This window comes from Homo sapiens, chromosome 12 (assembly GCF_000001405.40).
Source record: "Homo sapiens chromosome 12, GRCh38.p14 Primary Assembly".
NCBI classification, from domain to species: domain Eukaryota; kingdom Metazoa; phylum Chordata; class Mammalia; order Primates; family Hominidae; genus Homo; species Homo sapiens.
Window position 1 is genome coordinate 115,742,074 of NC_000012.12, and position 24,332 is coordinate 115,766,405.

General features: G+C 40.3%; 1 long non-coding RNA gene across 2 annotated transcripts in view; it reads right to left on the minus strand.

Annotated features, from left to right (window-relative positions):
- LOC105370003 (uncharacterized) overlaps positions 1-20,992 on the minus strand; it is a 389,555-nt gene extending 368,563 nt beyond the window's left edge. For both annotated transcript variants that reach the window (XR_945389.3, XR_945388.3), the window contains exon 1: positions 20,875-20,992. This is a non-coding gene — a long non-coding RNA (uncharacterized LOC105370003). The remainder of the gene's footprint in view (positions 1-20,874) is intronic.
- Positions 20,993-24,332: the final 3,340 nt, after the last annotated feature.

The window sequence follows — 24,332 nt, forward strand, 5'->3', positions numbered from 1 at the left end:
GGCGTAGTGGCTCACACCTGTAATCCCAGCACTTTGGGAGGCTGAAGCAGGTAGATTTCTTGAGCCCAGGAGTTCAAGACCAGCCTAAGCATCATGGCGAAACCCCATCTCTATAAAAAAAAATACAAAAATTAACCAGGTGTGGTGGCATGCTCCTGTAGTCCCAGCTACTTGGGAGGCTGAGACAGGAGGATTGCTTGAGCCTGGGAGGTGGAAGTTGCAGTGATCTTAGATGGCACCACTGCACTCCAGCCTGGGCAACAGAATGAGACCCCGTCTCAACAACAACATCAACAACAACAAAAGTGACATTCATTTTGATAGTATTTTACTTAACCCCATATACCCTAAACACTAGCATTTTTCCATGTAATCAATGTAAAATTATTAATGAGATATTTTACATCCTTTTTCTTCATACTAAGTCCTCGACATCCAGTAGGTACTTCACACTTACAGCACATGTCATGCTGATAGTTAATAGCCAAGATGGTGAGCAGCTACCATACTGGAAAGCACAGCTCTCCATGGTGCCATTCAGTGATCATTCCAAGGACTTACATTTTATTTTCCTTTGAATAATAATAAAGTCTAAGTTTCAGAGGAGAGGTACTTTTCAGGAAGCTGGGAAGGAGTACTTCATTACATCTTTGGAGCTATTTGATGTTCCACACTGGGGAAGGAAGTCTCTTTCTGTCTCTCTCTCTATGCCTCCCTCTCTCTTGTTCTGTTTCTCTCACCCTGTTTTCTGTTTCTCTCTGCCTCTTTTCTCACTCTGTCTCTCTCTTTCTGCTTCTCTGTCTTCATCTCCCTACCTCTGCTTCTCTTAAAATTAATTACTTTCTTATTACGAAAGCAACAGAAATTATTGTAGAAAATTTCCCACATATAAATAAGAAAATTGAAGAGATCTCAATCCACCCTCCTCAAGATAACCACTTGGTCATGATTAGCACCTTACAATACCTCCTTTTAGACATTTTGTGTTTGTCTCCAATGCACATTAATGACTCTGGAAGTAGCTTGCCTGGATATGAGTCTCAGCGCCTCCAGCCCATGACCCAGAACTTGAGTAACTTATTTCCTCTTGGCAACTTGGTATTCTCTGCCTTAAAATAAGGACAATAATGGTCCCTTCTACACCAGTGAGGTTGTCATGATGTCTATATGAGCGGATACTGGTAAAGCAATTAGCCCACAGGCAGGTACTTGGTAATAGCTTAATAATCATTAGCTAGTCCGCACACATGAAGAGAGATGCTACTGCTGCTGTACCTAGTATTTCCTAACTTGCTTTTCCCTTTAACAATATATTGAAATAAACTACGTTTCCATTGTCCATAAATCCTTATCTATAGTGTCATTTTTGGTGGCTGGAAGCAGCAGCCTGTTCTTCCCACTCCCTAAACCCCATGCCTGTATGGGTATTTAGCAGGACAAACCAGAAGAGCAATAATTCCACGAAATCAAGACCCATGTCTTTTTTTTTTTTTTTTTTTTTTTTTGAGACAGGGACTTACTCTGTCCTCCAGGCTGGAGTGCAGTGGTGTGATCACAGGTCACTACAGCCTTGAACTCTCGGGCTCAAGCAAACCTCCTCCCTCAGACTCCCAAGTAGCTGGGACCACAGGTGTATGCAACTACAGCTGGCTAATTTTTTTTCAGATCCAATGTCTATCTCATTCATTCCTGGTCTCTGTTCATAGCAGAGTCAGAAGCAGCTCATACTCTCAATAAATGTAGTTTAGATGGATGGGTGGGTCGGTGGATGGATGGATGGATGGATGGATGGATGGATGGATGGATGGATGGATTAGAGGACACAAGGGTCAAGCCCCAAGTGTCCTCTGATGGGAAGGCTGGATCTCAGATTTGGGTCCCAGTCATTAGGATACAAGCCAGGGCAGGGACCATGAGGTCCAGAGTTTTGAAGGCCACAGCTGAGGAGTTTTTCTTCAGTATATTAGAATAAGCTGTCTGGTGGAGATAGTGACTCTAAACTCTGGACAAACTAACAAATAAAAACCTACCAGAGGCATTGGAGAATGAGCAACGGCAGGGAGATATTGGAATGAAGGTGAGACTTGGAAGAAGGGAATGATATAGGATGAGTTCCATATTGTTGCAGCTTTCACCTTAATATAGGCCTATAAAAAATATCCTCACATAAAATGGCTGGATCTCCACTAGAAAACTCACCTTCTTTCTGACCTATGAAACCAGAAGGTAGAGCCCAAGGGGGGCCCAACCACCAGAAAATGAGGGAAGAATCTTAGGAAAGAAAAGCAAGAGAAATGGAGTCCCAAATTCTATGTATAATTTCTTCCCAAGACACCAGCTGATTCCTGAACCACACCTGCATGGAACAGACTTAAAGCAGTTTCCTGCTAAGGCTGGAGGTAAATGAGCTGCCATAGTCCTCAACTGAGACACACTGCAGACTGTGTCTAATCAAGTCAACTGCCTGCCAAAACAAAAACTTCATCATTCTTTGGAAGAATACAGCAAAATTCAGAGTCTCCAAACACATCAGTCACAATGTTGAGGACATACTCCAAAGTTACTTAATATATAAAAAACTTGGAAAATGTAATCCATTATCAAGAGAAAAGACAAGCAGAAGAAGCCCACTTCAAGGTATCTCACATGTTGTAAATATCACATGAGGATCCTAAAGTGATTATTATAACTTTCTCAATGAGCTAAAGGAAAGTATGCTCATAATGAATAAATAGATTAAATCTCTCAGCAGATAAATATAAAATATATCAAAGAAACATAAGGAAATTTTAGAAGAAAAAATGCAATATTTGAAATAAATGTTACAGCTGAGGGCAGAGAGACAAAATGAAGGTCATGGTAAGGTTGATGACCAGCAGTTCCACTGAGAAGGAAGCACAAGGGAAGGGGCATTAAAGTGCAGCCCTGAGGAGTTAACACCTACAATATGTACCAGAAGGACTTGTTTAAGAATGAGCAAAATATCTGTATACAGGCTCAGGTCAGAGTTTCTCCTACAGACTGAAACAAAGAGGGGCTGGGACCAAAAGACAATGTTTTAAGAAATAATAACATTGAGAGTCATTCACTGGGCACTGAATTACATTATCTTATTTAATTTTTATAACAAACCTAGGAGGTTACTTACAATTATATCCTATTTTTATCTGGCAAGCCTGAGACCAAATGTTAATCAACTCATCCAAAACTACACATTTGTATTAAGTTTTCTATTTCTCAGTGATAAATTATCACACACTTAGTAGCTTAAAACAACATACTTCTACTATCTCACAGTTTCTGCAGGTCAGGTATCTAGGCATGACCTAGCTAGGTCCTCTGCTTTGGGTTTCTGGAGGTTATAACCAAGATTTCAACCAGGTTGTGTTCTCATCTGCAGGCTTGACTTCGGAAGAATCTACTCCCACACTCACTCAGATTACTTCCAAAATTCATTTTCTTAATGCTATAGAACTGAGAGTTCCAGCTATGGAAACTGGCTGTTAGCTGGAGGCTTCCCTAAGCTTTCAGAGGCCACTTGCAGTTCCTAGAAGCTGCTCAAAGTTCCTTGACATTGGGATCTTCCCACCATGTCTGCTTACTTCATTGAGCCAGAAAGAAAAATCTCTAGTGCAAGTCTGCTGACGAGAAGTATCTTATACAATGCAATGTCATCAGGGGAGAGATATGCCATCACCTTTGTCATATTCTATTGGCTAGAAGAAAGTTACAGGTCCCACTTACACCCAAGAGGAAAAGGTTATACAAAGATGTGAACACCAAGAGTCAGGATTACCTTAAAGAGGCTGTCCACAGCTGGAGGAGAGCAATGTGAGACAAGCATGAAAAGCTAACCCGAGACAGATGAAATGATCAGTAGATAACTATAACATTACTCTAAAGATGACTTATCCTTAGGATAAAATATTGCTGGAAAAATATAAGGAATGGTTGATATACAACACTTTATAAGCTAATGTTTCATGCTTAATTTGAAAAAATAAATGAGACAAAGGAACTAAAAACAAATTTAACATCTAATTCTATGGATTGAGTATTTAAAAATATTTTTTTTTTCATTTTCATAAACAAAGAAAGATCAGCCTGAATGACAACAGCAACAGGTTGCACGGAAACTTTTGAGAGAAAAATCATAAGCCATTGATTTGGTCCTCTTTTACAACTTTTCATGACATTATCACTTCTAAGACCACCTCATGAATCCTTTAAAGGAATTTTTCATAATGAGCATGTCCTTGAAACCTCTGTAACAACTGGGTATTTGGACCTCAAATACTATTCACTCATTATCTTGCAGGCCAATTGAATAAGCCACTCTGATCGCTCATGAATGGGCAGTGAATCCTATCATTCATTCTCCGCCTACATGTTGGTACTATCAATCTCTTTATCCTTCTCTGTCTTTCTTTGTGCCCCTCAAACTTAAATTGTGCAACTAAGTCACTAAGAGAACATATTTTTAAAAAATACAAATTCCAAGCCCACCTTTTAATAACTTCTATTGTAGTTTCCCTGGTGTGCTGCCCAGAAATCTTCATTTCACCAAGCACTCCCTTCCCAGATGATAGTGATGCAACTGGAGAGCTGATGCTGTCTCTGAAACATTGGTCTAAGACAGCACCATCCAACAGAAACTTCTGCCATGACAGAAAAGTTCTATATCTGTGCTGTTCAACACAGTAGCCACACTCCCATTTGTGGCTAGACTACTTGAAATGGGGCTAGTGGAGCTGAGAAACTGAATTTTTAATTAGCTGTAATTCTACTTAATCTAAATTTAAACAGCCACATAGGGCTAATGGTATTTGGACAGCATAGCACTTTCATTTATAAGATTCAGGCCAGGAACTCCTAGTTCAAGGAAGTGCTGACTTTGTTTCTAGATCTTTGTGTGCTTGATTCTTCATTCTCCCCTATAATTAAGTCAGTCTGGAGGTGTATATTTGGAGGGAGATAGGTAGATATAGATAGATACACTTTTTTCCTAAAAGTGGAGCTTACCAGTAATTATCATTTAGTGCCATGCTCATCAAAGAATCTCTTGCTCAATATTTAACCATCCTCACAAAACTAGCCAGATCCAGCTCTTGGTTTATAAAAATAGTTGGCAAAGGCGAGACACAGATGCCAATAAATAAATAAATAAATAAAACCTTTCCCCTCCTTGCTCCTTGTGCTTCCAGTAATTTGTGTGCAAGAATCTCTCACAGACCCCAGCTGCCCCCGAGCTCACTGAGGTCATTGGAAATGAGTTTAGAGAAGACGACGACAATGGTCAGAAGGGTGAGAAGAATTGTTTACTGTGTGACCTGGAGTGAGACCCTCTCAACTAGCGGCCTCAGTCTCCCCATCTGTAAAATGGAGGTGCCTGAACTAAATGAGCTGAAGGACTCTTTCAGTTTTAAAATTCTTATTTAAAATAACACAATTTTAGATCAGAAAGCTGAGCTTTCTAAAAAATAAATAAAAATAATAACATAATTTATCTGTACTGAGCTGACCATGATATTTTATATACTTGTTAAGTGAATAAAACAAGTTCCCCATTTTTGGAAAAAATATACATATATATACACTATATATATGTGCATATACATACACACGGCAGATACTAATATGGAAAGATACACACACAAAGAAAAGATTTGAAAGTGTACACACCAAAGCTTGACAAAGGTAACAACCTCTGGGTAGTACCAATCCACGTCTATTAGTCTTGACAACCTAGGACTCCATCGTTAGGTAATCAAACCTAGTCCCCCTTCTTCTATCAGTCCATGTGATTTGGATGGAATTGACTCTATCTCCAGCTCCAGTGATGGACATGTGACCTAAGCCTGGCCAAAAGAGAACAGCATCTCTCAAGCGGTCCAGGTTGGGCACCTGACACAAGCCAGAGCCTTGCCCAGACCTGTGAGCCAAGAGCTCTTTTTCCTCTGGGAATAGGTAAGTCTGAAGGCTCCCAGGGCCGCCTAGCAAGAGGCTGCCTAAGAACTACCCTATGCAGAAGAAGCAGAGCTGAAAGATGAAGAGAAGCAGAGGCTTATGGTCTGTTTTGAAGCTGTGGACCCAGTTGTATGTGAGGGTAGGTATACCCTAGACTTTTCAGCTTAGTAAATCAATAGATTCCTTTTTCATAGTGAAGCCCCATGGAGTTGTAGTCACTTGCAACCTTCATTAGTACAGAGGTTGGAATTGGCTGGGTATGATAAGAGAACCTCTACCATTTATTTCAGGGGCTTCTATTTTTGTCGATTTTTTTTTTTTTTTTTTAGACGGAGTCTCGCTTTGTTGCCAGGATGGAGTGCAGTGGCATGATCTTGGCTCACTGCAACCTCCGCCTCCCGGTTCAAGCGATTCTCCTGCCTCAGCCTCCAGAGTAGCTGGGACTACAGGCACGCACCACCATGCCCAGCTAATTTCTGTATTTTTAGTAGAGACAGAGTTTCACCATGTTGGCCAGGATGGTTTCAATCCCTTGACCTCATGATCCGCCTGCCTTGGCCTCCCAAAGTGCTTTTTGTCGAATTTTTTTTTAACAATAAACATGAATTTATAATTTTAAAATGCATTGATGTCCTTAATCTTGACAATAACTTGAATGTTTCAAGCTGCTGCTGTGGACCAAACACGAAACTAAGCAATTTCCACACATTAAATCATTTAATACTCACTCTCATCCTCTAAGATAGGTAGTTATTAATACTATGCTCATTTTATAGATAGGGAGACCAAGGCTGAAAAAGGCTAAGCAATTATTTAAGGGCACACGGGTGAAAAACAGGGGAGACTGGACTGGAACCCAAGTATGTCAGTCTTGAAAGACACGTTTTTATTGCTTCTTTATTTCTGTTTGGTGTTTAGAAGAACTGGAGCTCTTATAAAGATCTGTTTTGCCCACTGGAATACAAGCTCCCATAAGGGCAAGGGCGTGACTGCCTTGTTCATTACTAAACACCCAGCACCCACCACAGTGTTCAGCACAGAGGAGCTCCACAAACAATTGCTGAATGAGCAAATGAATTAATGAATGAGATGTGATATCTGAGACTTGACGAGGCCAAGGCATATGGAAAGCTCATGGAAACACCCGTTTCAGGCCAACATCTAAAGCATTCCTTCCACCTTCATCAGGGATGTATCTCAACAGCTCAGACATGCTTTCCAGTTGAAAACATTCATTTAATTAGCAGGCATTTTCCAAAACGGATGTGCCTTTCTCAATCACTGTGTCTGCCATGGACATTTGCTGAAAAGGTCCCCCCATCCCCCAAACATCAAAGCATGTGCTCCACAGACCTTTCTCCCCCAATTACTTCCATTGGGGAAGGACAGCCATGCGGACGAGAAATCGGTCACAACACGCAAGATGTTCTCTCTTTGTAAAAAAGATGCTTGTGGTGTACGCTACTCTTTGGAAGAGAAAAAAAAAATCTGTGTCTTTAAAAATGTTTCTTTTGCTGCTGCTCACTGGGAACTGCCAAGAATCATTTTTCATTGAGATCTGGCTTCCCCTCCCAGAAACAGAACCAAGAATAACCTATAAGATACTGTTTCATTGGGTTTGTTTTATTTCTTCCTGATTTTTGCAGCTACTGGGATGGGCATTCTGGCCCTTGTGCTTTGCTTTGGTTTAATCATTACAAGTCAGCTATGAATAAGAGACTATGCAACCTTTTTTCTCTTGAGTCTCTGCATCCCAGAGCCTGGGACAGCATTAGCTATGGATGGAGGTGGCACTGGTATTTTGGAAAGATGATGTTCCTTATGAAAACACAATTCTCCAAATCTACTGAGCCATAGCTGGAGTTGGTTGAGTCAAACCCTCACCCTAAACCCTTCCATAGCTCTCCATTGCCATCTAGATAATGAACAGTTGGACTTAGCACGGCATCTTGGCTTCCCCACCTTACCACCAATGCCTGCGCATGTGTTCCTCTCTCTACCTGAAAGATCCTTTTTTCCCCCCATTCCTTTCACCTGGTTAAATCTACTCAGTGTCAGGTCTCAGCTTAAATGTCACATCCTCCAAGAAGCCTCCTTTGCTCCCTCTCTCCACCTTCCTCTAGAAGAATTGAATTCAGTACCTTTTTGGTGCAATTACAGCCTACCCCTGTCCCTCAGCACTGATGGCACTATTATAAATGCCCACTCACTGCTTCATCACCCCTACCAGATCTGAATCCTTTACATGCTGAGTCTTAGAGTCTGGCACATAATAAGCCCTCAGTGAGTAGTTGTTGCATGAACAGGGTGAATATATAAATGGGAGCAGGGTAGAGGAGGAAGTGTCCAGGTAGGAAGAAGTTGAATTTTCCTCCTTAGAATGGTTGGGTTGCAGGGTACTGAACATTATAATGAAGGCAGTCATAGTCCAATCCTTACTCCCAACCCCAGGGTGCACAGAAGAATCAATCTCTCCAAGTATTGTTCCAACAAGGAAATCAACTTGTTCCTACAAAGTAATTCCAGCCAAACAGGTCTGCTCGTAGTTCTCCAAGCAAGCTAACTTTGCCTCAGAGCTTTAACCAACCAATGTGGCTTCCAAGACAAGAGACTTGGAAGGAACCTTCAAAGTCACAGAGAAGGTTGGGGTGAGGACAGAAGGCAAAAGAAAAACAAATAAGAAGGCAGAAATTCTTGGACAGGAGGGCCCTCTGACCCTGGCTTAGGCCTCCAATTGTAATCCTGTGTGGCAGTTTCCAAAGAACTAGGACTGAGATGGTGGGGGAAAGTGAAAGAGAGCCAGAAAAATTGGAAGAGTCTTTTCCCTCCAAATTTTGAGCCTGAGAAAACTCCATTTTACCCTTGGCTTATTGTATCCCATATGGCACTTCATCAGGTAAGCAGGACTTTTTTTTTTTTTTTTTTTTTTTTTAAGAGACGGGGTCTCACTCTGTCACCCAGGCTGGAGTGTGGTGGTACAATAACAGTTCACTGCAGCCTCAACATTGTGGGGTCAGTCAATCCTCCTGCCTCAGCCTCTTGTGTAACTAGAACTACAGGCATACACTACCTTGTTCAGCTAATTTTTTTTTTTTTTTTTTTTTTTTTTTTTTTTGGTAGCAATGATGTCTCACTGTGTTGCTCAGGTTGGTCCCAAACTCCTGGCCTTAAGCAATTCTCCTGCCTGAATTTCCCAAAGTGCTGGGATTACAGGCATGAACCACCATGCCTGGCCTAAGCAGGCTTGGATATCCTTCTGTTCTATGAGACTTGTGGTGCAAAGTTCACTGCCATACAAGAATTGTTGGGCCTGATACGGTGGCTCACACCTGTAATCCCAGCACTTTGGGAGGCCAAGGCAGGCGGATCGCTTAAGGTCAGGTGTTCGAGACCAGCCTGGCCAACATGGTGAAGCCCTGTCTCTACTAAAAATATAAAAATTAGCCAGGCATGGTGGTGCATGACTGTAATTCCAGCTACTGGGGAGGCTGAGGCAGAAGAATTGCTTGAACCTAGGAGGCAGAGGTTGCAATGACCTGAGATCACGCCACTGCACTCCAGCCTGGGTGACAAAGTGAGACTGTCTTAAAAGAAAAAGAATTGTTGGCTTCTCTCAGCCTCCACCCAAATGGCATCTCCTTAGGACAGTAAGTTTTCACTTCCCATTTCTCAATACCTCAAATATCTCTCTCCCCTGGGACATTGCTCCAGGAAAGGTCAAGGGGACTTTTGGTTCAATGGATTTTCTTCATTAACAGAGAGCCCTTTCTTGCCTCAGAATGTATACTTGAAAACCATGCTTAAATGTCCTAGTTTGAGGCTCACTCTGCCAGGTGTTTAAACTCTAGCTTTATCTTTCAGGCTATGTGATCTTGGGCAAATGACCTAACCTCTCTGAGACTGTTTCCTCACCTATAAAGTGGGAGAACAGACCTCTCTCATGAATTTTGATGAAGATGAAATGAGATGACAAATGTAGAACACCAAGCACAGTTTCTGGTTCCAACAAAGGACCTATGATCCACAATTATTATTTCTGTACTGGGATGAATTCATTTCTTGAGTAAGGGCTTGGATTCTACCGCCAGCTTTTCTAACTAAGATTTTGTAATTCTAAAATAGTATGTTGAATAAACAAAAATAGATTTTTCTGTCTTATATAAAATTAGAGCTGCAGAAAATGCAAAAGAGATAAAGAACTGGTTCACTTAGACTCCAGGATGTATCATAAAAAGTTTTGTTATTTCTGTTGTTAATACATTCCTGATAGCCACTTGTTTCCTGGTTATTTGCCTTTTTGGCTCTGATTGGCCAGGTTCCAGTACATTGAGGTTTTCACTGCACTTGGAAGCTGTGTTTTGAAGACCTCGAATCCTCTGTGAAAATGAAAACTTCTTTTTCCCTTTTCTCCCCAAACTTTGGTGGCCAAATACCATCACCCCACACCCCCCGATTTTGAGGACTCTTCCCACTTTAGATGCTTTGTAGCAGTGTTTCTATAATCATCCATTGTCCCAGAACTTAAAGTCTTTTGGCCTCTGAACTAATTCCCATCCTTGCCTCTCACACTGAGAAGTGGTCAAGAAAAAATTTTGGTTCATGCATCCCCAGTTTTAGTTCAGATAATTTGACTCTACCTTCATAATATATGTCACTTTTGCTTTCAACCATTATCCTCATCATTCAACATCATATTCTTCTGTCAATTGCCTTCCCATTTCTAACAATGTCATGTCTAACAATGCCCTGCACATGCACACAACTGCACAAACACACAACCACACATGATCATCTCCCTTTTCTCCCACTACCACCGGCATTCCTATTGTGATGATTTATATTCAGCAGAAATTTTTGGGAAAAGGTTTGAGGAAAACTTTTTTAATGTCTTCCATTACCACGGGGCATGTGAAGGTGTTGTAATTATACCACTAACCAAAGAATTCATTTCTTTCCTGAATCCCTGAAAGAATCTGAATAATCTGAGGACGTAATAGTTTTTTTCCCGCCCAGTGTGGCAGGGCAAAATACACCCATACCAAGATAAATGGTTCCTTTCTAGCTTTAGCAAAAGGTTCTTAAGAGCCGGCCAGCCCAGCAACCACCAAATACAGCTCCTTGACTTGATTACCTTCTTCCTTCTCTATATTTCTTGACAGTATCTTCAACTATCCAAAAGCAGGCCCAAAGTGCCTGTCCCTAACCTAGTCTGAACGTCCAAGAACAGCACAGCAACCAAATCAGGTCCAAAACTAGTAAGCAGAGGCTGGAGTGCCATCTGCTGACTATTTTTATAAGACATCTTCCTGCTTAGCCCACACCACTAAATGCCCACACCACCCCATTTCAAGGCTGCCAAAAGAATCTAATGGTATAGCTTCAGGCATAGGAATGCATGAATTTTTTACTATATTAATATCTCATTATTCCATTATTGGGAATAGGCATTTAGAAACAAAGCCTTCTTTTCACTTTTTTTTTTATTTAAAGGCAAAATGAAAAATCTGGGAAAGACTGACTCTTTTATAATTGCTTTTATTATTGATGTTTTTGTTATTACTATTACAGTGTTATGTTAATAGATAATAATAATAGCAACTCTTTGAAACTCCAATTTTGCACACTTTTAATCTGGATCTCCAAATCAGCATATCACAGTTTGCAAAAAGATTTATGATCCTCTGAGAGCTTACGAGACCATAACAGAACAAAGGCAAAAAATAAAATAAAATAAAATAGAAGAAACTGAAATGAATGAGTGCGCTGCCAAAGGAGCAAGAATTCAGCTCATTCAGGTATATTTCAAGATCAGGTTGATAGGCGTTTCCCATGAAAATAAGCATTTCTACTTAAGATCAAATGGACTCATTTCTTTTTTCCAGGCTATTACATTTTTTGTTGTCCTTTAAAACCAGAGGAAACACTGGGAGTTCTCCTTTTTAAATAACTGTGCCATCTCTTAGAGAGAAAATGGAAAATCCCATAGTTAGATGTCCTTCTTTAGGGTTTATTTTGCCTCTATTACTTCAGGTTTCAAATTAGACAGTAAATTTGCCAAAATCAATAGAGAGAAGAAAGATGTCTTTCTTTAGAAGAACGGATGACATGTTTTTATTTGTAATATTCTCAGGAAGTATGTCGATAACATGCAAAAATCAAATACTCTCTTTCCAACTGCACCATGTAGGAGTTTTCCTAGATGGCCATCTACGTAAATTTTGACAAATATATGAAAAGTAATACACATTGCATATATACACGTGCATGTTTTGATCTGTTATCCTCAAAAGCACCCACCCTGAAGAAGACACATTCACTAGTCGGATGTGTATAAGCTTTCTACACTGAACAAGTCTTTGGGATTCTAATAGTTTCTTTTGTTTGTACTTTGCTCAGACTTTCAGAGGCATCTACAAATTCCAGATCTTTCTTCAAGGGGAGGACTTGGTTAATATTTCCTAGTATTTTCAGCCCCTTCGTTGATTTCCTTCCTTTCTAGTATTTTTAGTTCCTGAGATAAAACCTCATTTATAATAAAGTCAAAATCCCTGGAAAACATTTCGTCAATGAAACATCCAGCTTTGCTATTCATTATTTCATTGAATGAATGTTTTTTCCTTGAAACCTGATGGCCCAACTCTGATTATTTAAAGGCAGACACAAAACTAGAATTGTGTCTAGTTTTTTAATATTTAATACGTAAAACTCTTCTTTAAAATATTTGTACTTTGCCATAAAATGGCCTATTCAAAGGCACAAATTTGCTAGGACCAAATCATTCAATTTAGGAATAATCGTATGTCAGCACCAGACCCAATGTTGGCAGATCCTATTTAATTTATCTCTCAGCCTCTTTTTTTTTTTTTTTTTTTATCATTGCAGGTTATTCATGATCCCTAGTCTAAAATGTTGAAATTTCAAAGCATGACTGAAAACATTTTAAATGAAGACTAGTCAAATAAGAAGCACTATTTCTTTATAGGGTCCTTTCATTATTTCCCCCAGAAATTTGGGGAGGTTTCTGCAATCACCATACATTCGAAATACCAGCTGCTAATTTCCACATAATTTTCTGCCCTGTTTAAAAAGGATTTTTTTGTTGTATGGATTTAGTGGGGTTAGGATTGAGATAGCGTGTGTGTTTGCACGCTCGCATGCAGAAAGATAGAGAAAAAGAGAGCGCACATAAGTAGTTTTGCTTTGAAGTCCCTACATAATTACTGTTAAGATCTATCAAAATGTACCGAGACAGCTCTCCTTGCTGAAATCTGATGAACAAAAAGGCAAGCAACGTCCAGGAAGACTGTAAAAGAATGGATCAAATTAAGAGCAAGAACAAATGCAACCAAGGTAGACTGAAAGATGTTGTGGTTTCTGTCGTTGTTTATGTGTAGGGAGGAATTAGAAATGAGAAGGAAAGACAGATGGGGGAAGAAAGCAAGGGAGAGAGAAGTTGAAGGAAGGCAAAATGGAAAAGAAAGAGGAAAACATTTATGGGGGGATGATAAAGAGAAAAGGAAGGAAAGAAGGGAGGGAAGGAGAGAAGGAAGGGAAGAAGAAAGAAAGAGAAACATTTACAGAGTTGTGGGCAGGAGAGCTGTTTTATCTTTGTGTGTTTTCTAATTCAAAGCTGTATGTCCTTGGTGCCGAAATTAAACATTACATATGGAACACAGAAAGAAAAGGGGAGAAAGAGTGGGTTTCCCTTTTTCATTTCCTTTGTTGGAATACTGGTTTGGAACATCTAAAGAGAAAATGGTTGCAATGTTGCAGAATTTTTCTTCTTTCAGTAATGATCAAACTAGCAGCTGCTTTCAGCAAAAGTTCTTAATGTCACAGTGCTCCCTGGAGTATTGCCTAGAAGGGACCCTAACGTCAACCTTTTAACTTCCCTTCCTCACTCTACTTGTTTTTCTTACAATGGGGGGAGGAAGGGATAGGAAAAATTTTAAACAGTCTCAGAAGCTTTTGAAGAGCTGCCACTGGCCAGGGGAAAGGAGGATTTCGAGAAATAACTTCCGATTTATTTCAGATAGTTAGGAGAAGGGGGAAAAGGGAATAAGACCTTTCTCTTCATTTTTGTCTCCCCCCCGCCCTTACCCCCTTAATCCTATTTTAGTTGAGGTCTGACCTTGGAAATTTCCAAAGGACTTTAATCTCCTGTACTTCAAATTGCTAAAGGGAGCTGAAAGAAAGAGTGCTGCATGTGGGTAAAGGTGGTTTAAAATGGTTTATTTATGAATGGTTTAGGCTTTCCTGATAGTAAGAATGTTAACTAGTTCGTTAGGCACTCTCTGTAAATATAAACCTTTTTCAAAAAATTTATTTCCTCCTTTTTTTTTCCTTCAGACAAAATGCATTCAATCATTAAACCTCAGCGGAGAAAAATGATCTTAAGCCTCCTGCCCCTGGGCAGATCTGACACACTCAAACGTTAATATTCTCAGATAGCTTGGAAATGCCATTTGGTGCTTTCTATAACTACACTGCTCTTCCCCAATCCCCCGCTGCCCTCTGCAACTTCTACCAGAGAAAACAAATTACCTTCATCTTGAAAGGGGGGGAGGTAGGTAGAAAACAAGAGAATGAATTGTTTTTATAAATATTTTAGAGATATGAAAGAAATCCAGGCACTGAATACGTTATGCAGATCTCAAATTAGGGGAGGTACGAACTGATTGAAATCATTAAGTATTTCACTTTTCAGATGAAAGGCTCTCGTTTTGCATTGCCATGTAGAGTTCTGATGTAATTCAAAGTGTCATTTTTGGAGGGGTTTTGGTGATTAAGACTTTTTCATTTCTCTCATTAAAGGGCCGATTTTCCTGATGTGGGTTGTAACTTCGTTCCAATCTGAAATTTCACCCACCCCTTCTCCCCGCCCAAAAAAAGGTCTATATTTACGACTGATTTTTGAAAGAATAACACATCCAGTTGTATACATATTTTTTAACTGTTTTTGATTGTATTGAATTACGAAATGCAGAAACCACTTTGCCGTCATTCTCAAAAGTCCATTTTAAATCACGAGATACGTCAAGGTATAATTACTCATATTTAAAACATTCTGTAATTATAAGAAGAAAGAATAGAAAAATGGCTTTAATAAAAGGCTATTGGAAGCAATTGACTCTCAGCAAATGTTGGTCTTTTATAAAGTTCATAATTTCCCAGTAAATTATTTTTAGTTACTAAACATCTTAAACATGAAGGATCTTAAAAGAATTCCTCATCTGCCACCACACATACATGCACAGAAAAAAATTATAAAGTTTTCTAAAAGTGCGTTTTTAAAAGACCTCAGAAACGGAAATATTTCTCAGGAAATGTCGAACACAAATGTCTATATAATATCTACATGAAATAATAAATCAAAATCAGTTTTTTTCATCTGACAAAACACAATAAACGGGTTTAGAATATTGTTTGAAGCATTTTTTTTAGCTTTCCAAAAGACCAATAATAGATGATGCCCTATTGGGAAAGATAACATGTGTTTTCTTGTAGCTTGGTGGGAAAAATATTTTTTGCTCTTTGTAAAGGAAATCAGATATATATTTGGGGGAAAAGAATATAATGTTTCACTGTGATACGGTCCAACAAAAACCCAGGAAATTCAAGGTTCAACTGATGCTTGGCTAAAAATTCACACCATTGTGCCCCTTTACTGATGGCAGATTTCGAAGCCCAGAATGTATGGGTGAACCTCAAGTTTCCTAACTTCAGCCTCTTATGTCTAAACATCAAATTGTTATTTAACTATTAGCCGGTGTTAGACTGCCTGCCATTTTTTTTCTTTTGTTTTCCCTTGGATATTTTATATCTTTGCTGATCTTTCCAGCACATCACCTGAAACGTATATACTGCATTTTAATCCCAATGGCTGATGCTATCTCTGGATAAGCTGAATTTCTTTTTCAATGGGAAGGGTATTGGACGAGAGAGAAGAATCACAGAATAGCAGGGTGTTTGAGCTGAGAGAAACTGGGGATACAGAGAAAGTAAGAGAAAACACAGATGGAATGAAAAGCTGGAGAACTGGGATAGAAGGGGACCCAGAATTGTCAATGGATTTCTTTTGGTCTATGCCTAGAAATACATTAACTGTTAGGGAGTCTTCCCTTCAGGAAAGTCTCAGTTCCAGAATCAAATTATAGGACCCAACACATTGTCAAATATTTAAACCTCTAGTGCCATACCATTTGTAGATTTCGAGATCATTACTTTACTACTAGATTGTTAATTACAATGAAGTAATGGCAGACTGGGCTTGTAGATTTTATGGATGCCGCTTCTGTGTGAGTGATTGTTAATACTAAAAGCTTAAACTTTAACTGCATTTTAAGCATCTGGGACTGGAGCGAAAGCGGGAGCTGTGAGTAAATGCTTTCAGCAGGTATGTAGTTAGTTATTAAAATGGGCTTTGAAGCTCTCTTTTGGTGTATTTCTGCATATTTTAAGGGTCCAGGCCAAAAAGAAAAAAAACACTTTTTTTTTAATGCACTTAATTTGGATTTCATTGAATTTTCTTCACGCACTGATGTTAGGATATTTTGACAAATGTAATTCCCCAACCCCTCTGTATGAAAGAAAAGAAACTCTTTTTTGAAGAGATTTAGAAAGGGGAAGAAAAATCCTTTTTAAAAGGCTTAAGGGTAAGGAGGGGTAAAGCGAATAAGTGGTAGGGGAGGCTTTTATTTTCTAAAGCTCAAATTCCAAAGAAGAAGGACAGTCCACGTAAGAACTGAAACTAATTTACCTGAACCCTTTGTCACTGCCTGGCTCTTGACTATTAAATGATTCTTTTCAGTAGCCAATAAAACCAAATCAAAAGCATGTTTTGGATGGAGGGGTGGTGCCAGGCAATTCCCCCCACATGAAAAGCCAAACTATGCTGTGTTTGTTTTGGTTTTCCCCTAAGAGGATTTTCAGAGAAGGGGCTGGGGTTTGGGCCACCCTCCTTGGCCCCACTCCTATGAGGGAATATAGGGGACTGTTTCGTTCTCGTCCACGAAGCTAAACTGCCCATCGGTATTACCCAAAAAGGAAAGAGAAAGTGCCTGCCCTGCAGTCAGGTCTACAAACCCTGATGTTTTGTCTTTGTTTCCCTCTCAAAGGCTGTTTTAAGATCCCTGCCAATGCAAAGACTTGGGGAACTGTTTGTCACTTTTCAGAAAACAGCTCAGACTTTCTGGGCCTTAATATCCCTACCTTTAAACAGCACCGATATTCACTGCCTTCTGTCTTCGAAGATGCTAGAGATGTTGTTTTCAAAGATTTGGGAATCCTTAAAAGCAAAGAGCTACATAAAAATACAGAGATTAAAAAAAATGGCAGCCCACTTCTTTCCATTCCTGATGCCCAGTTTGGTTTGAATACGTAAGAATTCTGTAACAGTGCCTAATAACGATTACTAATAACAAAAGTATCTAACACAGAGTGGGCCTTCAATATTGAATATTTAACCTTAGTAGAGGTATTAGCCTTTCAAACTCTTCCCATCTTTAAACTGGAAGGGAATTTTTGCCCTATTTTATCAAGTAGTGGAAGACATGAAGATAAGACAGTTCGATAATTACAGTCCCCGGAATTTCCATGCTTGAACAAGGATTTGAGGTACCTTATTTCAAGTCTCTTTTCCAGACAATGAAATGCACCCAATTGAAAAATGGATGAACTAAAGCTTTTCTCTGCTCTCCCGTCCAAATTAGATTGGTTACTCAATTTGACTGAGTGCTTAGAAATTAGTCAATAAGGCAACTAATTAATAATTTGACTGGGGGGAAAAAGTCAATTTCTCAGCCGCACACAGGCACAAGTCTGAGGGCTTCCTGAGGCACCTCGCCACATGCCTCCAGCAATACCTTGCCGCATTGAAAATCTGCAGGCTGAGTTAAAAAGGGAATCCTGGGTTCAGTTCACTTTATATTAGGCCTTTACTTCTAGTGGAATAGCATAGTAGAGGAATATGATGTGCAGAGAAAAAAGCAGTGAGAGATAGTTAATACAAAATAGAATAATATATTGTATATATTGTATGTAATATATATTTATAAACTACATTGCAAAAAAATAATAATATGGTCTTATAATCATGATGTAGCAAGTATTTATTATGTGCCAGGTATTATGCTAAGTAAGCACTCTGAATACATTATCTTATTTAATCCTGTGATCACACAATGAGGTAGGTACTATGATCCCCATTTTACAGGTAAGGAAACCGAGGCCCAGAGAGCTGAACCACTTACCAACCAAGAAAAAACAGCCAGATTTTGAAACCAGATTCACGGATCCCAAATCCTGTTTTCCAATTCTTCTCTACAAACACGGGGAAAATTAACCAAGGGACTCATTGCCAATTTTCCGCCTGCGCAGAGGAAAACTGGCATCCTGGACTAACCCTAATTTGGTATGTGGCCAGGGACAAGGCATAGTGAGCCTCAGGTTCCCATGGACAAAACCAGGAAGGTCCTCTAGCAGTGGCTTCATAAAATAGCCTTATCATTTAATGCATCTGGTTCTACCAAGAAACATGTTTTTTAAGAAAATATCACATTAATTAAGAAAATATCTGGTTGTATTCAGAAGATGGCAAAACTTGAAAAGACACTAGGATTTTTTTTAATGTAGAGTGAACCTTAAGTGAACATTTAGACAGCCTTCGTGATTTAGTTGTTAAGAACAAAAACCAGCCTAGGTTTGATTCAAGCTCTATAACTTCCTGGGAAAGTGGGGCTTCACCTCACTGAGCCTCACTTTCCTCATCTGTAAGACTGGAATAATAGTATTAACACATACATACATACCTCATAGAATTGTTGTGGGGATTAAGTGAGAAGATGCTTATATTGCGAACAGCAAAGTGCCTAGCACACAGCAAATGCTTAGTAAGTGGTACCTAGAATATGGATGATGGTAATGGAGTTGATGATGAGGATGATGGTGATGTTGATGGTGATGATGGCATGATAATGTTGGTGAAAATGGTGATGATGGGAATGATGACGATTATATATGATGATTGGGGTGATAATGGTGATAGTGGTGTTCTTAGCAAAAGGGTTGATGGTAATGGTGTTAATTTACTCAGTTTACAGATGAGACAATTGAAGCCCCAAAGTCACATGCTAATAACCAGCTGAGTGGAGACTAGAAATCTATTTCCTGGTGCTGGCCCATTGCCTTTTCCATTGCCCCATGCTAAAAATAAGTGGAGTAGGATTTAGCTGAAGGAAGCTGGGAACTGCAGGTCAGAGCTGAGAACCAGCAGCTTCAGCCTTTTCTCCTCCACCCCCAGCTCATTTTACAATGCCAGAGAAATCACTTTGTCCTCACCAGACCTCATACCCTGCCTTTTATGGACGATGCCACCATCTGATGTTTAACTGAGAGGTAAGGGGAGAAGGTGAGTTGAGGAAAGCTACTTTTTAACCAATAAGTAGCTCCCAGTGATTTGAGTGCAGCTGATCTCACACTGCATTTTGAGAAATTCTCCCTGGGGGAATTGATTTACTTTCTGGTTTCAGCCCAAGAGATAAAAATAATCCATTGAATTTGTCAATTTCATTTTCCAGATGGGGCTAAGTGGTCCCTCAAGGGGCTTGTGATGAACCATGTGAGAAACCAGAGTTGAAGGAAAAGAACAGAATGAGAAAGAGGAAAAAAAAAACATAGATGCTACATGCCAAGCAGTAGCAGCAGAATTGACATTTTAGGTCAGCACAGATTCCCAAAGAGCACTGAATTTTCCTAATAATGAGAGAAATTGGTTTTAGGATTCAAAGGAACCACACCATCAGGGGACAGTTGCCCCAGGAGTCCAAGGCTAACAAATAGGAAGAACAGGCAATACATTTTCCCTGAGTTATCCATGGCAGACATTGCTAACAGATAGTGGCATTCTCCACCAAGCCCAAAGCAGCCTCCCAGTGTCTCTGAATCCTAGAGCTCCAAGCAGCCATGAGCAATCAATCAGAGTAGACACAGAGATGAAAACTATTTTCTACTTGGCATGTGAGTGCAAGACCAGTAAGCGATTCATAAGGTCTTGAACCAAACAAACAAACAAAAAAAAAAAAACAATAATAGACTAGATCGGGGAGGGGTTATCATGTCAGGTAAAAAAACACATAGGAGCTCCAAGGATTTAGGCTTCCTAGGCTGGTCACATCCCAAATATCGTAGGTGATAACTCATTCATTTATTATTTACTTATCCATTCACTTGCTCGTTCATTCATTCACTCATTCACTCTCTCACTCATTCACTTTCTCATTCCCTTGGTCATCATTTTTAAATTCGACAAATATTTGCAAATCGACAAATCCTGGATGCTGGAAGTGTAAAAATGAATTAGACAGACCCAACTTCTATCTACGTGGAGCTTATAGCCTAAGAATATTTTTTCTTAAAAAAAAAAACTAAATTTAACAATTACACAAATAATTGTTTTCAGTTGTGATCATTGCAAGGAAACGTAGAAGTACTAGATACTTTGAGAGCATAGATCAGGGATTTGGCTTAGTTCAGCAGGGAAAGATGGAGGTAGAAATCAGGGCAAACTTCCCAGAGAAAGGAACATTTGAGCTGAACACTGAAGGATGAGGAGTTCACGAGGCAAAGAGGGGAAGAGGGTTTTCCAGGTGGAAGGAAAGACTTCTGCAAAGGCCTGGAGGTGGTAGAAGGACAGCACATTGCTGAAAGTAAGAGAAGGTCAGAGGGATGGGAGCCCAGAGAGTGAGGAGAGGAATAATGTGAGATGATGCTACAGAGGTGGGCAGGTAGCAGTGTCCCCTTTCAAATACGAGCCCAAGAGTGACCCGCATCTGCTAAAAATACTTCAGTGACTGTCCCTTGCCCTCAAAAGAAACTCCAAACGTCTTACCATGCTCTGGTCCTACTCACCTCTCCAGCCTTACCCAACGCCAGCCTTTCTCACGGAAGACACAACCTAGACTAAACGTCCAGGTTCTTGAAGAGAAAACACTCAAATGTAAGCCCTGTAAGAGCAGAAATGAAGTCTGCTGCATTTCCTGCTGCATCCTTAGTGCCCAGGGTCCTTGGTACAATGCCAGGCATAGAAGATGAACTTGAGAAATACTGTAAATGTAAAGATGAGTGATTTTTTGACCCCACCCTTGGCACAGTGCCTAGAACATGGCATTGTATGTTTAAATACTAAAAGAGAAGAGGAACAAAGAAGGGAGGGATGGAAAGAAGGAATAAAGGCAACAAAGAAAGGAAGGGAAGGGAAGAAAGAAGGGAAGGGAGGGAGGAAGGGAAGGGAGGGAGGGGAGGGGAGGGGAGGGGAAAGAAAACTACACATATAGGTGTTGGGGAGAGGAATACGCCAAAAACCAAGGTTTTTGAAGCTCTAATTCCCACATAAAAAGACCCAGTCATCCTAAAGTTTTCAAGAACAAAGTATTTAAAAAAAAAAAAAAGAGATTTGTATTCACCAGCCTGGAAACACAGGGGCCAGTAGCAAGGAGAAGGCGGCCTGACTGTCTGTGAGATGGGTGGGGCCCATTTGGACGCTTCAAGCCAAAAAGCATTTTTGTGGCCTCATAATTTCTGAATGCTCTTAGCGAGGCTAACTGGCTCCAGGCTCAGTCTCCTGCAAAAACTCATCTTTGCAATTCCTCAGTTCAACCTCATGCAAACGGGTCAAGCTATCTGTTGGGCCTCAGTTTCTCCATCTGTAAAATGAAGTAATTAGATTAGATCATCTCTAATCTAACCTTAACACTGAGTCAAGCCTCTCTTAGGTACTCTTCTCAGAGTGTCACATCAGCCCTAAAAATAATAATTATGATGATATAATAATAGTAATTATTATTATACTAGCTACCACTTTTTGAAACACTTTTTATTTCATCTTCACAACTATCATATTAGGACACCTATGATCTCTATTTTACACATGAGGAAATTGAAGTTCAGAGAGGTTATGTACCTTGCTCAAAGCAGTGCAGCCAGTAAGGAGAAAAGTTGGAATTTGATCTCAGACATGTCTGAGCCCAAACTCATGCTCCTCAAACCTCTATCCACAGCTCTAGCAGGTCCTGACAGAGCCAGTGTTTACAGAGCACAAACACAAGCACAGATCCCCTAGTTCTTGCAGAAGGCAGGGAGAAAACAGGAAGGGAAATGTTTGCAGTGATAACATCGTTAGTGTTGTCTGCCCAGCCTCCCTTCTACCGTTTTTGTTTGTTTTTTTTTTTTTTTTCTGGTAAAAGGGCCCCTCCCACATAAAACAGGGTTTTGGAGAATGTAGTTCCCCAGCTCCATGTGATTCTAATGGAACCACCAATCACAGAACCCCACAGTGGCAACAATCACGTGTGACATGGGTCCCATGACCAAAGCCTGCACAATCATGGTATAGTAAGCCATCTCCTGGCTGCAGTGATTGGTTCAAGTAGTGGACATGTGACCCAAGACAGGCCAATGAGAGCCCTTCCATGGTCTGAAGTGGCTAGGAAGGGGGTCCTCTTTCCTCTAAGGATGGTAAGCTGAGATGATAGAAACTTAGAGTTTCCTGTGACCTTGTCCCACTGCCATGTGACCCACTGTGCCATGGAAAAGAAGTACCCGTTGGAGGGGAGAATATGATCAACAGAGAAGCTGCGATTAGAGATGGAAAAAACGAGCCCTCATCTCATGGGTGGGCTGCTGAAACCAGTTCTATACCTGTCATTTCCAGGTATTAAGCCAATAAGGGTTTGAACTTGGATTCTATCATTTGCAATCAACAGAGCTCCAAGAGACTTTTGACCAGCATTCCACAATTGCTGCCATATCCCATCACACACACACATACTATCTACTACTTAGAAATTTTAAACAGATCTGAAAAGGGGTATTAAGGAGAAAACAGGTGAGGGAGAAGCACTGAGAGAAAATAGGCCCAAAATTGCCACTTGCTTCCCATCTTGTCCCAGTTGGGTCTCTGACTCATATGGTGGCTCACGCATCAATAACATATGAGCTTGAATGTCTCCAGAAATAAATGGCTATGCTTTACCAAACAGTTACTACTTTTTTCTACTTTAGCTCATTTAAAACCCCAAATAATCTCAAAACAGAATAGATATGTCCATTTTTCAGGGAGAGAAAATTGTGGCATACAGGAATTAAGTTGCCACACAACTAGTATGTGGCAGAGTCTGGAGTTTTGAACCCAGATCTGTGTCACCTAAATTCTTTTTTTTTTTTTTTTTTTTTTTTTTTTTTTTTTTTTTTGAGACGGAGTCTTGCTCTGTCGCCAGGCTGGAGTGCAGTGGCACAATCTTGGCTCACTGCAACTTCCACCTCGCAGGTTCAAGCAATTCTCCTGCCTCAGCCTCCCGCATAGCTGGGACTACAGGCACGCACCACCATGCCCAACTAATTTTTGTATTTTTATTAGAGATGGGGTTTCAGCACATTAGCCAGTATCGTCTCGATCTCTTCACCTCGTGATCCGCCCACCTCGGCCTCCCCAAGTGCTGGGATTACAGGCGTGAGCCACTGCGTTTTGCCAGTTCTCTTCCTTTATTAAAACTACATCAGATGGTCTCCATCAATGACACGTAAGTTTGGATGCCAGTACTTTGATATGTCAAGGGGGTTGCCTGAGCCCAGAAGGTCTGGAATTGACCCTAAGACATCCTGATACACGATGTTTCTTTTCAGGCTTGTAGGTAAAGCTTGATCCTAAAAGAAAACATCCCCAGGACAGTGGCTGCCGATGTTCAGCAAGCTGCCTTCATTTCCAGGAACCAGTGCCTCTGTGCATAGAGGGCAGGCAGTTAGCAACATTCAGCCACTTGCTATTACAAAGGCGAAGATATGAAAATGAGGGTGTCTGATGGATGTGGTATAAAGCAGGACAGAGGCCTTTGAAAGCAGAGAGAATGAGGAAAATGAAAGATAATATTCTTGTCACTTGCACTGCTTTGAATCCGCAATCTAAAAGCGCTTTTCAACATACTCTCAGCGTTACTTTTCATCCTGGGGGAGAAAGACAGAGTTTCTGATGACCCTGACTTCCAGATTGGTTCTAGGTTGGTTTCTTGGTCAAGAAAAACAATAAAGCAGAAATTAGGAGTCAGTTGACTGTTCTGTTGTTCTCATAGCAATCTGTGCTTAAGCTATTTATTCCAACAATATTTCTTGAACATTTGCTATATGCCAGACACTCTTCTAGGCACAGCTGTGAATGAGACAGGCTTTCTCAATGTCATCTTTCTGAACCACAGATCTGATCATGTCACGCTCCTTGTCTCCCTTCAGTGACTCCTCATTGCCCACAAGATCAGTTCCAAAGAACTCAACATGGTAGCCAAGGCCATTCATTGTTGGGTCTCTTCAATTTAATC